Source organism: Homo sapiens, chromosome 1 (assembly GCF_000001405.40).
Source record: "Homo sapiens chromosome 1, GRCh38.p14 Primary Assembly".
Lineage (NCBI taxonomy): Eukaryota > Metazoa > Chordata > Mammalia > Primates > Hominidae > Homo > Homo sapiens.
The window spans coordinates 178439971-178462164 of NC_000001.11; the positions used below are offsets into that span (position 1 = coordinate 178439971).

The 22194-nt window shown below is 36.4% G+C and overlaps 1 protein-coding gene across 19 annotated transcripts in view; it reads left to right on the plus strand.

Annotated features, from left to right (window-relative positions):
• Positions 1-22194, plus strand: part of RASAL2 (RAS protein activator like 2) — a 384747-nt gene that overhangs the window by 345867 nt on the left and 16686 nt on the right. For 10 of the 19 annotated variants that reach the window (NM_001437625.1, NM_001437626.1, XM_017002849.2 and 7 more), the window contains 8 exons: positions 1579-1677; positions 2705-3259; positions 5548-5692; positions 11601-11745; positions 12446-12682; positions 14477-14678; positions 16730-16929; positions 17713-18574. In NM_001437625.1, the coding sequence (NP_001424554.1) occupies positions 1579-1677; positions 2705-3259; positions 5548-5692; positions 11601-11745; positions 12446-12682; positions 14477-14678; positions 16730-16929; positions 17713-18574 (2445 nt within the window). The remainder of the gene's footprint in view (positions 1-1578; positions 1678-2704; positions 3260-5547; positions 5693-11600; positions 11746-12445; positions 12683-14476; positions 14679-16729; positions 16930-17712; positions 18575-22194) is intronic. The other 9 variants (NM_001437627.1, NM_170692.4, XM_017002851.2 and 6 more) reach the window with 1 other exon arrangement.

Here is a 22194-nt window from a genome sequence, read left to right on the forward strand (position 1 = left end):
ATCCATCCATCCATCCATCCATCCATCCATCCATCCATCCTAATTCCAGGACATTTTGACCTAAATGTCTTATTTATTTTTGAAATCCCCTGTAACTAACCCAGACCCCAGCACATTGCAGGTGCCTGATTTTTGAATAAACAAAATTGCCAACTATCATAAGGTAATTTCTCCCTTCCAAATATGTACTACTAGCCAGTTACAAGTAAAATTCAAAAACTATATATACATGTATTTATACATACATAGAATTATTAGGGCTGAGATTTGATTAATTAACAAGAGCTTACTAAGTGACTACAGATGAGTCCTATACTAGATGTTGTAGAAGTCAAAAGATGTTTGTTTGGTTCCTCTTCTTATGGACCAGCACTGTCCAAAAGAAATATAGTACAATCTGCATGCATATCCAAAATATTATCATTTCAACATGTTCACTATCAGAGAAATTGTTTCCTTTTTTTTTAAAACTAAGTCTTCAAAATCTGATGTGTGTTTACACTTGCAGCACATCTCAATCTGGAATAGCCATGTGAGGCTAGTAGCTGCTGTATTGGACAGAGCATATAATCTGATCGGATTTATTAGGTTGTGACCAGAGATTGAGTTAATAAGTGAGCAGACTTCAGCAATTTGGGCAAGACATTTATTGGTGTTCTTTTTTATAAAAATCAGTTGAACTTTCTTGTATTTGCGGAACTCAGTTCATTAGGCTGTATATCAAGCCCAGAGTTAGGTGCTAAGTATATAACAACATATTTCATTTTTAAAGGACTGTGTTAATAGTGGTCAGGCTAACCTAATAAATGACTAGAAATCAACAGGCTGGTTGCGTAGTGGAGGAAAAATGGGTTCCAAAGATAGTAATTCAATATTAGTAACTCTTCAATTTCATTTAGCACCCTTCTATAATATAGTGAGGACAGTCTCAAGAAATCTGATAAGCTGTTTCAGAAACTCTCATCCTTTATTACCTATTTTTTACTAACTCAAAGTTGAACATATTTATTTGCAGGTAATTTAAGTTATTGCCTAAAAGGCCTTTAATTTTGATTTTTCTGAACCATAGGCCAGTTTTAATTTCCTTGGATGAATTTAAAATGGCCTTTGTTCTCATACCTGGAAATGGATGTGGATGCTACCTAAGCAAAAAGCAGATGTAGATGTAGATATAAGTATCGGAAAACTAGCAAAGATCATCTTAGTTTCTTATGGTATGATTTAGGTTCATAGCATATGTCTAACTCACAGCTTTGCATTCCTTTTGGCCTTGTCTACTTTCAATAAAATTGGACTCTTAGTACATTTTCGTCAGAGGATGAGACTAACAATAACACTAAATTAGTATATTAATTTTTTAGTATTGGTAAGGATGTCGCTCATTAGGTTATTTTTGTAACCACAGCATGAGTAGTTTGGGATCTGAGACCATGTTTTTCTTATCTATCCATCCATCCATCCTAATTCCAGGACATTTCGACCTTATCATTTAAGAGTTAGAGGTATGCTGTGAACCCTAATGACAGAGCCCTGAAATCCAGTGTTTTCTTTTTCTTATGTCTAATTTTTATGTTGAAGGTTACCTACTTAAGTGGAAGTAAATGCTTCAGCTGTAATTCTGCTTCTGAGAGAGACAAGTGGATGGAAAACCTTCGCAGGACAGTTCAACCTAATAAGGTAATAGTAGCTTCAAGTATCTAAAAAATGTATAACTTTGTAAGCAGTTAATTGATAGAAGGTAAGTGTGGTAGTAATACCTTAATTTGTCTATAGCTTGAGAGTTTTAAAGCACATTTATATGTTATGCCATTTGTAGTAAGCCCTTATTATATCACCATAAAGAAGTATCTGAGACTGGGTAATTTATCAAGAAAAGCAGTTTAATTGGCTCACGGTTCTGCAGGCTTTACAGGAAGCATGGTGCTGTTATCTGCTCAGCCTCTAGTAAGGCCTCAGGAAACTTACAGTCATGGCAGAAGGCAGAAGGGGAGCAGGCACATCACATGGTGAAAGCAGGAGCAAGCGAGAGAGAGAGTGTGTGTGTGAGTGACTTGGGGGGAAGGTGCCACACACTTTTAAACCACCAGATCTCACAGGAACTCAGTATCAGGAAGATGGCACCAAGGCATGAGGAATCTGCCCCCATGATCCAAACACCTCCCACCAGGCCCCACCTCTAGCACTGGGGATTACAATTCAACATAAAATTTGGGCAGGGACAACTATCCAAACTGTATTATCATTTTAAGCTAAAAGCAGTCTTACTGCAGATATTATTGCCATGGTTCTACCAGCATGGATAAAAGGACTCTGAAAAGTTAGGTGAATTGGCCATGTCAGAAGCTAGTACATGATAGAAGAGGGACTAGAATACGAGCTTCTTAACAGCTTATCTCTTTTATTTGCAGATATTAGACTGGTTATATGAAAACTTACCGTTACAAAATGATATTTTCTTAACCCAAGTAAATAAAATAGAATGAACTATATATAATATATATAATGAACTATATATAATTCTTCAAGATTCTAATGCATGCTTGTTTAGAGCTTGCTGTTAACCTAAGCAATGAGATAGCAATCCCTTTCATTATTTGTTGACTCCCCTTAATAGAGTACCTAATGAACATTGCCAACTTAAGAAAAAAATGTTTTTTTTTCTGCAATGTCAGCTCTGAAATTCAGCTTTGTTGCCTCTTTATAGGACAATTGCAGGCGAGCTGAAAATGTTCTTCGTTTATGGATCATTGAAGCCAAGGACCTTGCCCCTAAAAAGAAATATTTCTGCGAACTGTGCCTTGATGATACCCTCTTTGCTCGTACAACCAGCAAGACCAAAGCAGACAATATTTTCTGGGGCGAACATTTTGAATTCTTCAGCCTTCCACCTCTTCATAGTATCACAGTTCACATTTACAAGGATGTGGAAAAAAAGAAAAAAAAGGACAAGAATAATTATGTAGGGCTAGTCAACATCCCCACTGCCAGTGTGACTGGTCGCCAATTTGTAGAAAAGTGGTATCCAGTGAGTACACCTACACCCAACAAAGGAAAGACAGGAGGACCTTCTATTCGGATTAAATCACGTTTCCAAACTATCACCATTCTGCCTATGGAGCAATACAAAGAATTTGCAGAATTTGTCACCAGCAACTACACCATGCTGTGTTCTGTCCTTGAGCCAGTAATTAGTGTGAGAAATAAAGAGGAGTTGGCTTGTGCCTTAGTGCACATTCTTCAAAGTACTGGCAGAGCCAAGGTAAGTGGAAAAGGGGGATTGCAGTACCTGAAGTCTCTTCCCTACCTTTCATAAACCAAGATATGGATATTGTAGAAATCCAAATTAGAGAAATGTGCTTTACTATTGGTCAAAACAAGAAGAATTAAGAAGAAAACCTATTAGATCCAGAAAAGATGAAGATTATAAAACTAAACAAGTAAAATGGAGAGACCAGCAAATATTTAAAGCCAATTTGCATGAAACATAGATAACACAGCCAGCTCTTTCTTGTCTGACAAAATAAATGGTAGGATTGGCACGATAACCCTACAGCATGTTCAAGGTTCCTTATCTTTAATTTAGTTCTAGAGTGTTGTATGGTGGTTTTCTTCCTCACTGTATTTTATTTAAGTTTAACTGATGACTGTATCCTCTAGGCACAGAAGGAAGTATTCCAGAAGCATATTGAGTATTAGCAAGAGTCTTTGTGGGATTAAAATCTATATTTAGAATAAAAATCCAAGGGATATGATACAATTGGTAGCTGTTTCATGATACACTTATTTCACCTTGGATAGAAGTAAAAACTCAGGAATATTTTTTATTTAAAGGAGAAATATGCTGGTTGTGGGAAGAACAAAAACTAGTTGAGAGAGTCTTTGACCTATGAAGGATATTAACTAGGAAGAGTTACCGTTATACTGTATGCAAACTGGTCATGATAAAATTACATCTCAGATCCAAAGAAACTCACAGCTAGAATAATGTATTTAGAACCAAACAAAGTACTATTACTATTTCTTGATATGTCGGAATATATCAATATATTCAATATTTAGTCTCTTATCTGGCTTCTATGGATTATAACTTTTGTGTTTAAATTTACTTATGATAATCTTGGGCATTCTGTCATTAAAAAGCTTATGAGTTTGGAGCGAGGTGTCACTGAAATTTTGAATTGTATGGATATATTTCTACTTTTCAGTTGCTCAAGGTTCAGAATATACATTAAGACTTTTTTAAATGACTTAATACTGATTTACGTACATTTTAGGTAGAATAAACACCCATTTAAAGTGGAAAAGTTCAGTAAGCTTTGACCGATTTTGCACCCATCGAAACCACCACTATGATCAAGATACAGAATGTTACCGTTACCCCCAAGAGTTTCCTCCTGTCTCTTAGCATTAAGTTTAATAGTGATTCCTAAGTCTACAACTCTGTTATACTGTTAAGCTGCCCCAGAGTAAGTCCCATTGATGTTTAAAATGCTTAATTTTAAAGTAAAAGTAAATCAGCATATTCCTCCTATTTTGGCATTTGCAGCCCTTGAAATATCCAATAATTATATAGCATTCAAAATATATGATGTTATCACATTCAAACTGAACAACCAACATTGAGCTTTACTAGAAGTTCTTTAAGACTGTTGAGGAATGAAGCAGCTGTTTCTTTGCACCTTTATTTCCCCTTATGCTATCCTTCTGGATTGATGGATGGATGGACGGATGGATGGGTGGGCGGGCAGACAGAAAGATAGCCTAGACAATGACTTCAAGTGATGAGTTCAGTAGATTCTACATTGACACTGTGGACCGATTTGTAAGTATTATATATTGAACACCTAATATATGCCAGAAACTGTTAGGTGCTGGAGATATGGTGGTAAACAAAAACAGAAACTGGTTTTCTGGGGAAAATAAATATTAATCAAGTAATTACAGAAATAAATATGATTACAGTGAGAACTACAGAGGATAAAAAGAGAGATGATACTATGAAATGGAGCAAGGGGAGCTGACTAATGGAGTTCAGGGGCAATGTTGGTCAGGGACACCTTCACTGAGGAAATGATGTGTGAACTAAAATCCAAAGGATCCCAGGAATGAGCTACCTGACAGTGGGAGTGGAAGCAAGGGTGGGAGCAGAGCAGAACTGAGAACAGTATTTGGAAAAAAAAAAAAAAAGGCTTTGTGGTGAATAGAGAACATTGTGTGTGTTAGAAAGGGCTTGGTGTATTAAAGGACCTAAAAAGAAAAGGTACAAGGCTTGAAAGGTAGACAGAAACCAGAAAATATAGGGACTTGTAGACTGCATTCAGAATTATGGCCTTTATCAAAAGTGCAATGGAAAATCTTTGAGGGAATTTTAAATGTAGGGGTAGGAACACCTAACATTTTATCCTGATTGCTTTTTTTCCTTTCAGATGAATCTGATAGCTTTAGTTTTAAAGCAGCATTTCCAGGATGTCTGATATTTCAAAAGTCTCTTCTAATGTGTATTATTTATTCAGTTGCTTTCTGCCTGATTGAACATTATTCTACCAGGATTTTCTGACTGACTTGGTGATGTCTGAGGTGGATCGTTGTGGAGAGCATGATGTCTTGATCTTCAGAGAGAACACTATTGCCACCAAATCCATTGAGGAATACCTCAAGTTGGTGGGACAACAGTATCTTCATGACGCACTGGGTATGAAAGAGAAAAACATCTATTTTCTTTTATTTACTTTTCAGTTTTAAGCTATTTCACCCCCATGAGACGAATTGAGCTCAAATTCTGCATGTTATTTAGTTCTAGCTGACTCAGGTGTTAAGGTTTGAATCATGGCTGTAAGAAGTCTGCAGTACTCACCAGTAGAGAAATAATAATAAATGTAGAAACAGAAACCTTGTCAGCATACACTGCTACCCCAGGTCCCCAGCTTCATGATTCCAGGATGCACAGTAATATCAGCAGTGTCCACTGATAGATCTGAGGTGGTCTGTTTTGCCCAAAGTTTTGGGTGTTTATATGATGATATTATTACCTAGTCTTGAGAGTGTTACCCTGACATTTGTTATCATGCATGCAAAACTCTAATCAAAAGTGAAGAAACTCTTGCCACTTCCCACAACTCCCCCACAAATTTCTGCCTTTCTCTAGAATTTTTAACATAACTAATTTTTGTCCAATCAGTAGTTCTTGCTGACTAGGCTACGCACTTGCAGTTCCAGATTTGGTCATGAAATTGAGGCATTAACCGCTAGAGTAAGGTACTGTGCTGGTCACTTTAATATACATCATGATAGAGCAGATGTGAGTTCCTTGAAGGAAATAGCCCTTTGTTTTACCTCCATATCCCCACTACCTGCACACACTGTTGAGCAGCACTGTCCGATAGAAATATGACCCATGTGTGAATACTTTTATTTATTTTTATTTTTTGAGTAATTGTAAATTTTCTAGTAGTCACAGTATTAAAAAGGATGAAGAGAAACAGGTGAAATTGATAACATATTTCATTTGACCCAGTATATCCAAATACTATTTAATGGTTTAGAAGAATAAAAGTTATTAATTAGGTGTTTTACTTTTTTATTCTTTTTGAAAATCAGTGTGTATTTCACATGTATCACACATTTTAATTTGCACAAGCCATTTCTAATGCTCAACAGCCACGTGTGACTATCAAGAATAGAAAGTAAAAACATGTTGAATGATTGGAGAGATTTTTACCCTCGAGAAGTTTGCAATGTAAGGATATAACATTAGGGATATCTCTATACCAAAAAGAGACATTCTGTGTTCTTTCAAATAATTTTAAAAAAATTGAATCCAGCTGATAGAATTGTCAAACTTTCTGTGTGAAATACATTTATGTTTTGTATGTAGTTTGATGAATAGAAAGGTTAAAAACAGACATTGAGCAAGAGCAGATAAGATAAGAAGTAGCATGGGGGAAAGGACCCATAAACAAAAAGACATAGAGGTGGGACAGAACCAGGAATGTGTGGAATAAAACTATTTAGCTGGAAAAAGACATGAAAGAAACATGTGAACAACAACAACAAAAAGATTAAACAATAATTAGAACTAATTTGTGAAAACCTCAAATGCCTGGGTGAAGATTTAAAGTTTACAGTAATAACTGGAGAGCCACTGAAAGTTTTGAGCAGGTGTTTTCAGTGGAATTAACTTAGCAGACTGATTAAGACGAGTTGTATCCAGGCATGGTGGCTCACATCTATAGTTCCAGCTACTCAGGAGGCCAAGGTAAGAGAACTGCTTGAGCCCAGGAGTTCGAGGCAGCAGTGAGCTATGGTCACATCACTGCACTCCAGCCTGGGTGACAGAGAAAGACCTTGTCTTAAAAAAAATAAATAAATAAATAAAGGTGAAGAAAGCCTACTGAAAGCCAATCAATTAAGAAGCCATTGTAGGCTGGGCGCGGTGGCTCACACTTGTAATCCCAACACTTTAGGAGGCCGAGGCAGGCCCACCACCCAAGGTCAGGAGTTCGAGACCAGCCTGGCCAACATGCTGAAACCCCATCTCTACTAAAAATACAAAAATTAGCCAGGCATGGTGGCGGGCACCTGTAATCCCAGCTAAGGAGGCTGAGGCAGGAGAATTGCTTGAACCAGAGAGGTGGAAGTTGCGGTAAGCCAAGATTATACCATTGCACTCCAGCCTGGGAGACAAGAGCAAAACTCCTTCTCTTAAAAAAAAAAAAAAAAAAAAAAAAAAAAGCCATTGTAATAAGAAAGAATGAGACTCTGAATGACTGTAATCATGCAAGTAAGAATAGAGAGGAAGACGGATATGAGAAATATTAAGGTTGAACTGATAGAACTTGGCAAATTTTTCAGTTTGTGGGAAGCAAGGAGGGAACGAATATTACAGAGAATTGTGGGGTGTTGTGAGTGACTAGGGGGATGATGAGATTCTTAACAGGAATAGAAACCACAGAAGTAGTAGGTGTGAAACAGTGGAAATTACATATATATTCAATTTGAAGTTCTAGTAGGAAATCTCAGGGGTTTTAGATAGGCAATCTAAGATACCTGTCTAGCTGGCTGTTGGAAATTTGAGACTAATTTATGCTTGTGGAGAGGTTAAATGAAGCTGTAAGATTACCAGAGCAGGAAGAGAACAGGGCCAAGGATAGATCTTAGAGTGCACCTGGGTTTATGGTATAGAATGAAGAAGAGGAATCAGAGAAGTGATCAGAGAAAGAGAGAGCATCCAAAAAAGAAAGAAAACCAGGAAAATACTGAGTCCTAGATACCAATAGAGAAGAGAGCATCAGTAGAGTCAGAAATTATGGAAGGTAAAGAAAAAGAATGGATATTGCATTTGGCACCTTAAATATCACTAGTGATGGCTCACACTGGTTTCAGGAGGAAAGGAGGCAGGCTGTAAGGAATAGAGTGAGTCGCCATTCAAGAAACAGGATCACTGTGTTTACATGAAGCAGACACATTATAGTAGCTACTACAATTAGTTTCTGCTCTGAAGCAGATTTTTTGTCTTCCTGCTTATCTTCATATTTTTTTCTCTAATCATATAGACATTAAGAATGGTACAAAGAGCTTAAGAAAAGTACAAAGAGGTTTATAGTGTCATTTACATAAAGAGCTTATTACAGCCATAAATTATATCTCATGATTTGCTTTAATGATTTGTGTTTTGTTAAAAAAGTCCACCAAAAAAAAAAAGCATCTCAAACCGTATTCTCCATTCTATGGAGATAGGAGTGAGTATTTATTGACTATCTGCTTCTTTGAAATCAATTATTCATATTTGAAATTCAGTGTGCTAAACAGGATTTCTGAATGAAATAATTTCCAAAATGAAAAGTGGATACTAGTCTTTTTATAACAGTGAATGATTAAATGGCCGATGGGCTCAATGAGGCATGAAAATTAATTCAGTGGACATGGAAAGAAATTCAATTAACCCCTCAGAAATCTCTGTAATAATATTTATAATCCAAGAGCAAGGGCCAGAGTAGTAAAAATGGCTGCTGCTTCTAAGAGCATAAGCAGAATTAATTGGTAAGCTTCTTCAGGACAGGGGCTGTATTGTCTTCTTCTCGTTAAAGTTTTGCTATATTTCATATACTTTGGGCAGGAAATAGATGCTGTTTCCAGACTGCTTGAAGAATTTTCAGAGAGAATTGATTTTAAAAGTTGCCAGTAATAGTGTACGATATCTGTCTGCTTCTTAGCCAGTCCTTATCTTAATTAAAGCGTCACTCTTTCTGCACAGACTCTGCATTGTTTAGACTTGAATCTTCCATCTATTATCCCATTTTACCTTTCCAATTGAAATCAGATTGCACCTTGGTATCCTGTGACACACAGGAAATACTATCTGTGAGATACACTAAAGAAAGCCCTGATGAAAAGACCTGATTTCCACTTGTAGCAGTGGAGGCAGGTTTCTTTCGGCAGTAATATGTCCATCCTTGTTGACTTATTCCTACATGTGAAATTTTTATGCCAGATAGTAATGAGTTAATGATTTACATAGAAAATACATCATAGAACATTCTGGGCACAAACTTAACATGTAAACAACATAACAAGCACCCCCTTTGGCTCTGGTTTTTTTTTCAAATGCAAGAAGGCAAACTTAAGTGGGTTTTTTAATCTGTGTTGGTAATTAAGCACCTTCTAGTTACAAATCAATAAAAGCCTCTCCTTTCAATATGGTACATTCTGCATGCTCAAACATTGGTTATTGTTTCAACAGTTAAAGTATTATTTTTCTATTTTGGAGCATTTTAAATATGTGATAATCAGGGACAAAAACTTTTTAAGCTGGTACTATAGACAATTAATTTACTTCTGGGCCCTGGAGTTATTTATCTGGCACTTTTCTTGAAGAATTAAAGAAAAATATGGTTAATATTCATGTTTTTTATTAATATTAGTATTTTTTCCCTTGAATACATATAACCTAAAAGAAGTCACTAAACAGAATATTTAGGATACAGGTGTAGAGTTTGGCCAGTTTTTACATGGGATATTTGACATTGATTTCTTAGTTTTAAATTTAGGTACTCTTTAAATGAAGTTTAATTGTGGAAACACATAGCACAGGAGACATAGAGAACATATTGACTACATATCTTGGGAGAATTGATAACATTTTAAAACAGTCTTTTACTAGTTTTGGCCATTTCACCTGACAAAAAATTATTCAAAAGTTGCATGATTTTTAAATTAAAATACTTTTTGTATGGTGCACCTACTAAGAGCCAGGTACCATATTAGATGCTTTTCATGCATTATGTCTGTTCCTCACCACAACTCTACAGGATGATTGCTATTAACACTGTTTTACAAACAAGACAGCTGAAACTCAGACGAATTAAGTGACTTTTCCAGGCCCCACAGTCAGTTAAATGATGGATCCGGATTTGAGCCTAGATCTCTGACCTCAATGCCTTTAATTTTTCTGTGCACCACTTTCCTTTCTGTATACCACATTGTTTCCTGTTCTCTAAGCATTTTTCCTCAAAATTATCGCTTCTCATCTCCTGTCACGGGTATTTTTAAAAGCTTTCATTTATCCAAATACTAACCACTTTGATAGAAATGCTCTTTCTGCTGCTGATGCTGCTACTTAGTTTTGCAGGCATTATTGTTCACTTTCATGAAGTCTGTTATAACTAGCCTGAACCTCAAGTAATAAACACATATTTAGGAGGATCTTTGAAAGATCCACTCCTCTTTCATAAAGACCTATAAAAAACCAAGAATACATACTGCCATCTCTGATAAATATTTATTGAGCACCTGTAACATTTTGGGAGCTATTCAGAAGAGTCAAGATTTGAACATGAATAAAACCTAGTACCTAACCTCTGAAGGTATTCATCCTAGGAATGAAACAAACACAAATAATGAGAAATATGAAGTAGTCGAAGATATACAAGGTATGGTGTATACTAGAGGATAAACAGGTAAGGTAGGAATTTGTTCTTTCAGGGAATAGTGGGTGTATCTTCATAGAGCATAGGCCGTATGAACACGGCTTCTAAACTAAATTTATATGGAAAAGCATATACAGATTATGTAAGGAGATCTGCTATATTATTGTGCAATGTTGAATGACTGTCTCCGTTACAAGAGGTAAACATAGAAGATAGATCCTTACTTGCATCCGTGTTTGGCACCAACATTAGCACTTAAAACCTTCACTGGACTATTCAATCAAGCTTGGGTCATTTGTTCTTCTAGAATAACAATAATAGTCACCTAAGTAGAGCGAGCCTTAAAACATAACAAGTTTGTACTAATTAAACATATATTTAGTTTAATACATTTTTTGAGTAGTATCATTACCACTTTTATAAATACTGTGATGATGATGTTAGTGATTGCTGTTATTCCACTTCCAGGATAAGAAAAATAAACATGATATGTAGGATGTGGCAACTCTTGGGTTCCAAAGCAATGAGGCTTCATGGGCCATCTTTTGTGCCCTCCCTGTCAGATCTAGAAAAGAATTCCCCATTATACGTTTTAGGACAGAAATCATAAGTCCTTTTATTCTATTCAGGAAGACACTGTTTATAGCTATACCGTTATCTTCTCTCTTCAAATAGGGGAGTTTATCAAAGCTTTGTATGAGTCCGATGAGAACTGTGAAGTGGATCCCAGCAAATGTTCATCTAGTGAACTGATAGACCATCAGAGCAACCTGAAAATGTGCTGTGAGCTGGCTTTCTGCAAGATCATCAACTCTTACTGGTGAGCTTATCTTATCCTCTGCCTTACATTTTTTCATGTAAAGGTCATCACAGTGGAACTTACATTTTTTCATGTAAAAGTCATCACAATGTTAACAATTATTTTACAACCAAAGGGGAGGGTCTTGGAGAAAAATTGAAAGTTTCCCTAATACAGTCCCGTCTAAAATTGAAATCTCTATTGTAAGCAGAAGTACTTTTGAACTGGCTATCTACATAAATATAATCTCTCTAATAGAATATTAGTACTATAGCCTCTAATATCAAAAGTATTTCTTTTGCTTTCTAAAATATTTACTAGTGTTGAACAGATGTGTTCATGAATTTTGATCATTGCTCTAACTCCAGCAATTGGCGAAATTTTGGAAGATTTTTGATAAACAGTCTTTAGAGAGATTATGGTGAGTTATACTAAACCAGATGGTTTAGTCAGGAGCCTCATGCCATTTTCCCACTTTGCAAAACTAAATTTAAACTAATCCAGAGTTCTGTAGCCTTGGGTTTCCAGTCTCCATCTGGCCTCTGTGAATTTTCCACCGCCTCTCAGCCATGAATCAGGTAAAACCTCATCCCGGAATTTCTACTAGGTCCTCCTCACAGCCTGACTCTTAAGCAAAAGTATATTGGGTCAGGGTGGAATCACTTGTGCTTGTACTGGTACTTCTGTGTTTAGAGGTTTTGGTACTTCTTTCCTTCCCTAGTGTTTTCCCTCGTGAGTTGAAAGAAGTGTTTGCATCATGGAAGCAGCAGTGCCTGAACCGTGGCAAGCAAGACATCAGCGAGAGGCTCATCAGTGCCTCATTATTTCTCCGTTTTCTGTGTCCAGCCATTATGTCTCCCAGTCTTTTCAACCTTATGCAGGAGTATCCTGATGACCGCACATCTCGGACTCTAACTCTTATTGCCAAGGTCATTCAGAACCTGGCCAACTTTGCCAAGTAGGTGATACTGTTGTAACCACTTTAAAAACACAGTTTAAAAAATACTTGAGGCCTAAAATTTGGATGAGGGTTGGGAGCCTCATCACTCATGTTACCAGATTTTCACTGTGTTATTAATAAATATAGCAAAAAAATGGAAACAACTTAATCACTTCATAGAGGAATGGTTAAGTAACCTATGATACATGCATTCAATGGAATATTTGCAGGCACTACAAACTGTTTACAAAAACTATCTAATAATATAGAGCATGAAGATAAAATTATATTAAAAGTGCTGATAAAAATACTTTAGTGGGAAAAAAAGGGCAGAATAAAAAGTGGTATGTATACTGTTATCCCAGCAATATGAAAACACAAAAATCTAAGTATAAAAAAAGTTGGGAAGAAAAGACAAATTCTGCGGTTACAATGTCTAAGACAATTATCCTGGCCACTTCAAAAAAGACAATTTTATGAAAAATGCAAAAGATGGAGGGGGGCTGTTCTAGATTAAAAGAGATTAAATGCAATACTTGAAACTTATTTGGATCTTAAGTTGGAAAAATATATATATATGTCCTTTTGGGGGCAATGGGTGGAATTTAAATATATAGATAAGATAATTCGTGAATAATGTTTTTAAAAGTTTTAGTGTGATAATAGCATTGGTTTATGTAAGAGATATTCCTTATTCTGAAGAAATGGACGCTAAACTATTTAGAGGTGATGTCTGCAACTTAGTTTAAAATGGTTCCAGAAAGAAAAAAAAAAAAATCTGTCTAGAAAGAGAGGGTGTGAAAGCAAACTTGGCAAATATAACAGTTGGTTATTGTAGATGAAAGGCATATGGGTATTCATTGTATATTCTTTCAACTTTTCTGTAGGTTTAAAATTTTTCAAAAGAAAATTAGGAGAAAACAGTTGGGAAGGAAATGTACTAAAATATAAACAGCAGATATATTTGGGTAGCTTGAATGATACATCCACACTTTTTTCTTTCTACTTTTCATTGTTTCAAACTTTTTTCAGTAAGTTTATGATATTTTTATAATTTATAGAAAATAAATTTAAGAAATGGCTGGGAAGGAATTCACATTTACAGAACTGACCACAGATTTACTCAGTATTGATGCTTAAAGACAAGTTTCTGTTAGCAATGTATTGAAGAAAAAAATTGGAACTTCAGTGAACAGATTGTTTTCTAGTATAAGTGGTGGCTTTTTAGAGGTGTACTATTTTAATTTTGTATAATTTATATATAAGCCAATGCAGAAATATACATATTTATCGATATTTGAGCTAAAAATATTTATATTTTATTTTGGAACAGGTTTTATGGACTTAAACTAGGCCCTGCAGATAGCTAGAATCTAGATAGGCAAAGGAGAGAAGTTTTTCTCTAGTGCAAGTAAATAGCATGGGCAAAAGCTTGGAGAAGAAAAAAATGTGTAATATATTTGGGAGACTTTGTAGAAGCTAGCAGTATTGAAGGTTTGTACTGGTGAGCTTTTGGTAGGTAAGTGAGGGCTATATTGCAGAGAAATTTAAATCCCAGAACTAAAAAAAAAAAAAAAAAAAGGAGTTTTGGCTTTACCCTTTAGAGAGAATAGAAAGCTATTCTCAAAGCATTAGAATATTAAAGTGATATTAAGAAAGTATGTTATAACATTTATCACTTATAGATAATAAACAAAATTAGTCATTCCCTCCACAAAATAAAAAAAAGTAATAGTTCTGTGTAATGTCAAATCAAAATGATCATATCTCTCTTGAATATGTTCTTTCTCATTTTCTCATCCTCTACTTCAGGTTTGGTAACAAAGAGGAATACATGGCATTCATGAATGATTTTTTAGAACATGAATGGGGTGGAATGAAGCGCTTTCTTTTGGAGATCTCTAATCCAGACACCATCTCAAACACCCCAGGCTTTGATGGTTACATTGATCTGGGCCGAGAGCTTTCAGTTTTGCATTCCTTACTGTGGGAAGTAGTTTCCCAACTTGATAAGGTAAAGTAGGTTGGTGGAAGATAGAGAACTTTAATGTACCTGAATTCTGGAAAGTAACTATAGAGTGATAGCACTCACTCTTTCTGCTAATTGAAAGCAACTGTTTACCCTAGAAATCTGAGAGTAAATGGTCATCATTTCTGAGTAAAATATGAGATCGACAACCATGAAACTCTAGAAAACCATGACATTATTAATATATGTTTTTAATAATTATCTGAATTAATGGAGTATATTTCTCTAAATTTATATATACAGAGTGCATATCTGAAAACTTGACTAGAAACTAATATATTGGTATATACAGCCTTATGCATGTCTAATAGGATAAGATGAAACCTCATATAGTAATTTCTAATAAAAGTATAGATTTAGCTAAGAAAATACTAGGTTTATCATGTTTTAAGTAACTACCCATGAAACAAATTTTTTTACTATACAAGTCATAGAGTTTCATATAATTATTAGTGCTAACAGTCATTGTTTTCTTTCTTTACAGATGTGAATTAAGAATACAGAAAGCAATTATTTTTAATCGTTTGCTAAGAATTTTATTATATACCGTATTAATAAGTAAATATACACCATGCCAATCATTTTCTTCCTTCTGGAATTTAACAAAAAGGAATAGATTTGGTAGTAAAAAATAGTCTAAAAGACGTTGGCTAGGCTTATTACAATAATTATTTATTGATGTTTTTGTTTGCTACAGGCACTTTATAAATATGTGTGGTGGTATGTTAGAATAACTTCAAAAGACAGTCATTTTTCTATGATAATGATCTACTTATTTTCCTCTATTTTCCTATCAATAAAAATGCTATATCAGTAAAATTTGAAGGGGAATAAAACCTATTAACAAAGACCACTTTGCTGAGGAAACATATGTGGTAATGTGTCCTCCAGTGCTTAAAATATTTGTAAAACAATAAACTGTTCCTTATTCTCGAGGACCTTTTCTTCACTTTTAGAAATGCTAGCTAGATTTTTAAGTTGCAGCTATGCCAAAGATAAACCCTTTTCATGTGAATCGTAGCCCAACATTATTGAGCAAGTAAAGGCCTTGGTGGCATCTATCCCTGTTTGAGTAGGGTAGAAGAGTCTGTTGATTGTTGAGAAGGCAAAGACCCAAAGGCAGCTATGCCAAACTGACTGACAGTTGAAGGGGACCCCTAAGACCCCATGAGAATAAGAATTCCCTAAATAAAAAAATGATTGAAATGGATAAAGCAAGTATTAAAGAGTTCGTCTTTGTTGAATAACTGCATCTCAGTGGAATGCAGATTCAGTTTTCCTGTGAAATGGGCCTGGTTTATTCAGGATCAAAGTCTTTTTAACGGGCTTTGCTATGTAAACACACTTTCTCCTTTTTAATCTGTGTTTGGTCCTGGGAACCAGGAATACATCTAGACATATCTCATAGAGGAAGTTTACCTGATTTTGCTGTTAAATTAACAATAAAAATTGTCTTACTGATGGAAACTCAGTTGGCAGTGGGTCAGGGTTCCCAAGATTGACTGGGATAGTGGATGGCAGTATCATCTGTGTGCCCTGCAGTACTCTGGATTCCTGAATGAGCACCTTCTTATATGTTGGCATGCATTTCTTTTCTCACATGATCCCTTTTCTTTGAAAGTTTATCATACTAGTTGATCCTCTGATCTTGAAGTTCTTTTGGTTAGAAGGAATTTGGTTCTGCCTCCACCCTCCCCCACCTTGATCTACTAGCCTCCCAAAGATTTAGTTTGCTTCGCATGCCTATTTTAGTTGGAATGGCATTAGTTTGGTAGTTTTGAGCATGTCTTTTAATTTTTACTTGCATAATCCTGATTTCGATTTCCTTTCTTTCCTCGATGTCTGCCGCACCTTGTTTCGCCTCCTCCATTCATCTCGACGCCATGGTTCTGCTGCTCCATAACAATGCATTATGAACCTGCCACTCCCATATGCAAACACTTACCCTTCCCTCCAACCTACACCCCTCCATCAATGGCCATCGTTGTGCCAAAAACAATCTGTGGTGGATGTCGCAATGCTTATTATCCAATTAGGGTGAAAATTCCTTCCTACAGGCGACCGTGGCAAAATTGGGGCCTCTCCCTCGTGTTCTTGCTGATATTACCAAGTCATTGACTAATCCTACGCCAATACAACAGCAACTGAGACGCTTCACTGAACATAACTCCAGTCCAAATGTCAGTGGAAGCCTCTCCTCTGGGCTGCAGAAAATATTTGAAGACCCCACTGACAGGTATGAAAGAGAGAATTTGACCACTATCTCGGAGAAACATAATGTTTAGATTTAGCAGAAGTATATTCAACCTATTTGTTGAATTTACAAGTTTAAAATCATGAGCAACTGAAGACTCATCTGACCTGAGAGCAGTCCAATTATTTGTCATAATAATGCACAAGATCTGGGATGACTTATTTTCTAGAATGGTAGTATAGAGAGTTACAATATATTCCACAAGCATATTTTTAAAATTTCTGTCTTGCTTAGTGGAAGACTAAAGGCTTTATGAAATTCATGTTTCTGTACGTTATAGCATTCAAAATCTTGGAGAACCTCGGTTAAAACCATTTTATAGCTGGCTATGTCAACTGGACAGGTAGATACAATGTCGATGCTTAGACTGTTTTAGGGATTGGCAAGACTTGTGCCTTTTGCAGGGACCTTTCAGTTGTGTGCTTAGAACTTCTTCTCTTGAAGGTTTAGACAAGTAAGTATGAATTGGAATATTTGGGGAAGGTTTAAAACCTAACTAGGAAATTATTGGAATCCTGGTTAAAACTGAAGACAGTGATGGGTTGGTATCTACAGTGTTATTCTGTACCTTTGGGGAAAAAGTAAAAATGCTGGATTTTATTCTAAGCATTGTAATAATTCCCTAATTAGATAAAATCTGAGTTTCCAAAGAAATGTACGTATCCACATAAGAACCTTCGGAGGAGTTCATATGCCTGAATTGAGGCATCTTAGCCATGTTGAAGTTGTCTCAAGAGAAATTAAGTGTCCTTTCCTTTTCCACAGTGATTTGCATAAACTAAAATCTCCAAGCCAGGACAACACAGACAGCTACTTCAGAGGGAAAACATTATTGCTGGTTCAGCAAGCCTCCTCTCAGAGCATGACTTATTCTGAAAAGGATGAAAGGGAAAGTAGCCTTCCTAATGGTCGGAGCGTCTCCCTCATGGACCTCCAGGACACTCATGCTGCTCAAGTGGAGCATGCATCTGTCATGCTTGATGTGCCTATACGCTTGACCGGAAGCCAGCTTTCCATAACCCAGGTGGCCAGCATCAAACAGCTGCGGGAAACCCAGAGCACTCCCCAAAGTGCACCCCAAGTGAGAAGGCCCCTGCACCCAGCCTTGAACCAGCCAGGTGGCCTTCAGCCCTTGTCGTTCCAGAACCCTGTCTATCACCTCAATAACCCAATTCCAGCAATGCCAAAGGCCTCTATAGATTCCAGTTTGGAGAACCTAAGCACTGCCAGTTCCAGAAGCCAAAGTAACAGTGAAGACTTCAAGCTCAGTGGACCCAGCAATAGCAGCATGGAAGATTTCACTAAACGTAGCACTCAGAGTGAGGACTTCTCCAGGCGGCACACGGTGCCAGATAGACACATACCTCTTGCTTTGCCACGACAAAATAGTACTGGGCAGGCCCAGATCCGAAAAGTGGACCAGGGTGGGTTAGGTGCCCGAGCCAAAGCCCCACCATCCCTGCCACACAGTGCTTCTTTACGTAGCACCGGGAGCATGTCAGTGGTGTCCGCAGCCCTGGTGGCCGAACCTGTGCAGAATGGGAGCCGGTCCCGGCAGCAGTCCTCTTCCTCCAGAGAGAGCCCTGTTCCCAAAGTTAGAGCAATCCAGAGACAACAGACACAGCAGGTAGGTGTGAGTGCTGAAGGGGCCTGGCTTCTACTTGGTCCATCTGTTTCCTTGGTTCTTTATACATAAATCATTGGGAAATCCTATTGTTAACAAGATTTCCTCTTAAAAGCAACCTTTAAATGGAAAGAGGAAAGGAAAAATTTGGGAGGCTTCTGCCCAGGTGTGACTACAGAATGTAGTTTGACTCATTACCCTTAAGAGTCTAACAAACACGCAGAGGCCCCCTTCCTTCTCTTCAAGCAGCAGAGCTGCTACCTCAGTTTGCACTTAGAGCAAATCTATGATGTTGAATGAATAATTAGATACTTAAAATCTGTAGGCAAAACCAGCTATTATTTTGGAAATCTGAAAATTAATCCTTCTTAATTTTTTTTCTTAAGCTTCCAGAATAAAGGTTTGCATTCCGAGCCAAGAGTTTAATATGACTGCTCTCCATTCCATCCCTCAACTCCTTCTGGAAATACAAAGTCCCATGTGGCTTTTCCTGGAAATAGCTAGAAAAATAAACACTTGAACACCTGTAGAGTCAAGGTAAAGGAGAGAGTAAAAAGATAGAAGCACAGGTGGAAAAGGAAGTATTCTAAACATCTGCAAATCCCTTACATTTCTATTTACATGGACAAGCCCAGCTAACATCACATCCAATCTTAATATAAGTTTTTCTAATTTTTTTATTGACAAATAAAAAGCTTTGCCAAGAAACTAATCATTTCTTCCTTAAATATTACATTTTGAAGCATCAATACATATTTTTCCCTTTGAAACAAACTACTGTTAAATATATAATATACACATTCATATAATTTTTCATGTATATAATATATATCTTTATATATCTTTCATCTAAAAAGATTTTTCTCCTAAAAAAGCATTGTATTAGTTGAATTTTTTTTGAAACCTAATGATAGTACTAAAAAACTTGAGATTAAAAGAGTTCTATGACAAATCCTTTTATGCAGCAAAATAACTGGGCAGGGAGACTGCAATAAAATCCTAGTTTGTATCTGTTATATATTTGCATTTTTACAGTTTAGGCACTTACCTATATGGCTGCCTCTGCCTCCAGTCTGCTATGATCAGAGCCCCTTGCACCTACTTTGATTTTTTAATTGGATTATTTATAGAATCCTTGGATACAGAAATAGAAGAAGGGATGAAAAGCATGACTAACTTAAGCTGTTTCTGGAAGCAGACTTCCTGGGCTAAACCTCCTAGTTGGTCATTTTTTACTGAGTAATAAAGTTTTTCTACAGTCTTAAATTTTTCATTTTTATTTTGTTATATTTCCCAAAATTTTACCAAATCATTTGATTTAGTAAGCATTTTTATTTGAAGAAAAGGAAAAATAGATATCTTTTATATGTATCATATGTATTTTTTATATATAAATGTGTATGTGTATATAAGCATAAAATGTATGTGTTAGAAGGCTATCAGTCATTCCTACCTTATTGTGAAGTAGTTTCCTCACATCACTTTTGTGCTAGATTCTAGTTGCGATCAACTACTTTCAGAGAATTAAGATGTTTATTGGGAGGAGAAAGGAAAAAATACATAATTTTAGAAATCAGAATACTGTGTAGAAGCAAATATCTACTCAGGGACTTAGGGCAGCACAAGGGCACTGAAGATAAAATAGGATTAGCGAAGAGCATGAGATCTGGCAGAGAGGGACAGGACAGGGAAAGTGTCCTCCACCTGCTTTTCAAAAGTGTACTTAGGCCCAGCCCTGTACAGAAAAGGAAAATAAAGATTCTTTTTTTTTTCTTTTGCTTACCCTTTCCTTCTGTATCATGGAGGGCCTATGACTCAGGCTGGTTGTTTATTAATATTATAAATTAAATAGCCTTTTTTGTGCTCATCTGGAACCAGTTGTCATTTATAACATTTTTTCTTTAGGAAAATACAATACCTATCGCATAAGCACATAATACATGTTTCTGTGGGTTATGATTAGAGGGCTGCCTGGATGGATGGGAGGTAGGAAATGCATACAGTCTCCAAACAACCAATATAAAAATTAGTTTTTGTGTCACAGCCATTAATGAGTCACCAAATATATTTTTTGGCATGAAGTGGGGTACAGGCACAGTGAGATGTCCAGGTACAGCTTTGAATATTAATCTTTGTTTATACTTTTGCTGGTACTGCCACTGTCCTATCAGTTGAAGCATAAATCACCGTATTTTGATTGCTCAAGTTTCTTTTTTTTTTCCTACACTGGCTTTTGGTTCATTGTTTTGAACTTACATTGTTAGTTTTTTATTTTTATTTTTATTTTTTTGAAACAGAGTCTTGCTCTGTCGCCTAGGCTGGAGTGCAGTGGCACGATCTCGGCTCACTGTAACTTCCGCCTCCCAGGTTCAAGCAGTTCTCCTGTCTCAGCCTCCTGAGTAGCTGGGATTACAGATGCCCACCACCACGCCTGGCTAATTTTTGTATTTTTAGTAGAGGTGGGGTTTCATCATGTTGGCCAGGTTGGTCTTGAACTCCTGACCTCAAGTGATCCACCTGCCTCGGCCTCCCAAAGTGCTTTGATTACAGGAGTGAGCCACCGTGCCTGGCCTAGTTTTTTATTTCTTATCTGTTTCTTGCTTGCTTTGTTCATCTCACTCCCATGAAGCCTCTGAAGTTCTATATAATCAGCACATTTTTAAGGCAAATTCCTTTACATATTTTAATTGCAAATTGTGTTGGGGAATTCTCTCCCAGAAACTAGAGGATTTCTTTGTGGGGATTGTTCTGTAGGCGGCTGTAATTATCAGTAGCTTTGTCCCATGCAAATTCCATTTATATCTTAGCACAAAGTAGTGGCCATTGTCTGCAGAGTAACTGGCTTCAGTCTTCTACGTCTAATGAGTAGGAAGGAAATAAAATCCTGGTGAAAAAATTCACAGATAAATTTTTTTTCAAGAAACTCTCTTAATTTTTTAACCCATTTCAGCCTCTGTTTGTATTGCTTTTTTCTTATTTTCCTCTCTATTTTGTTTTTCATGTATCATCTACTTCGTACAAACAGTAGACTTTATATATATGAGTTGTTCAGATTTATCATGTACTCTAATCTTAGAAATTTGAATTTGAAGAGACCTTTTAAAATAGATAATTGACAAGCCTGTTAATATGATGCTGCAGTTTTCACATTTAGATTTGTTGAACTGTCTCTTAACCAACCTCTTCAAGAACTCCCAAAGTTTGTGGATTAATTTATTCGGCCCTTTCTTTGGTGTTGATAGCAGAAGGGTTATTCATTTATGGGAATCCGACTATTTCACACTATGAAGCTGAAACCAATTGGTCTTGTTTATGTCTAGTAAATACTAGCAAGGAACGAGGAACTGGCCTCAGCATAGCCAGGCTATGATTAATTGTAGTATCAGTGAAACTGCTGCATCAGGCTCTTTTGCCCTAAAGCGTTACTGTTTTTCCAGGGAAACCCTATACAGCTTTATCTCAAAGGGAAGATATTCCTAATGGGAATTCCTGCTCCTTTTTCTTTTTGTCTTTTTCATTATCTTTGATGATCATGTTGAAAGTCAGTGGATATAAATTCTCTTTCTAAGGCCATTCCTAAGCAAGATGGAATCTGAACCACTTACTAACCTCCTCCCTCAATT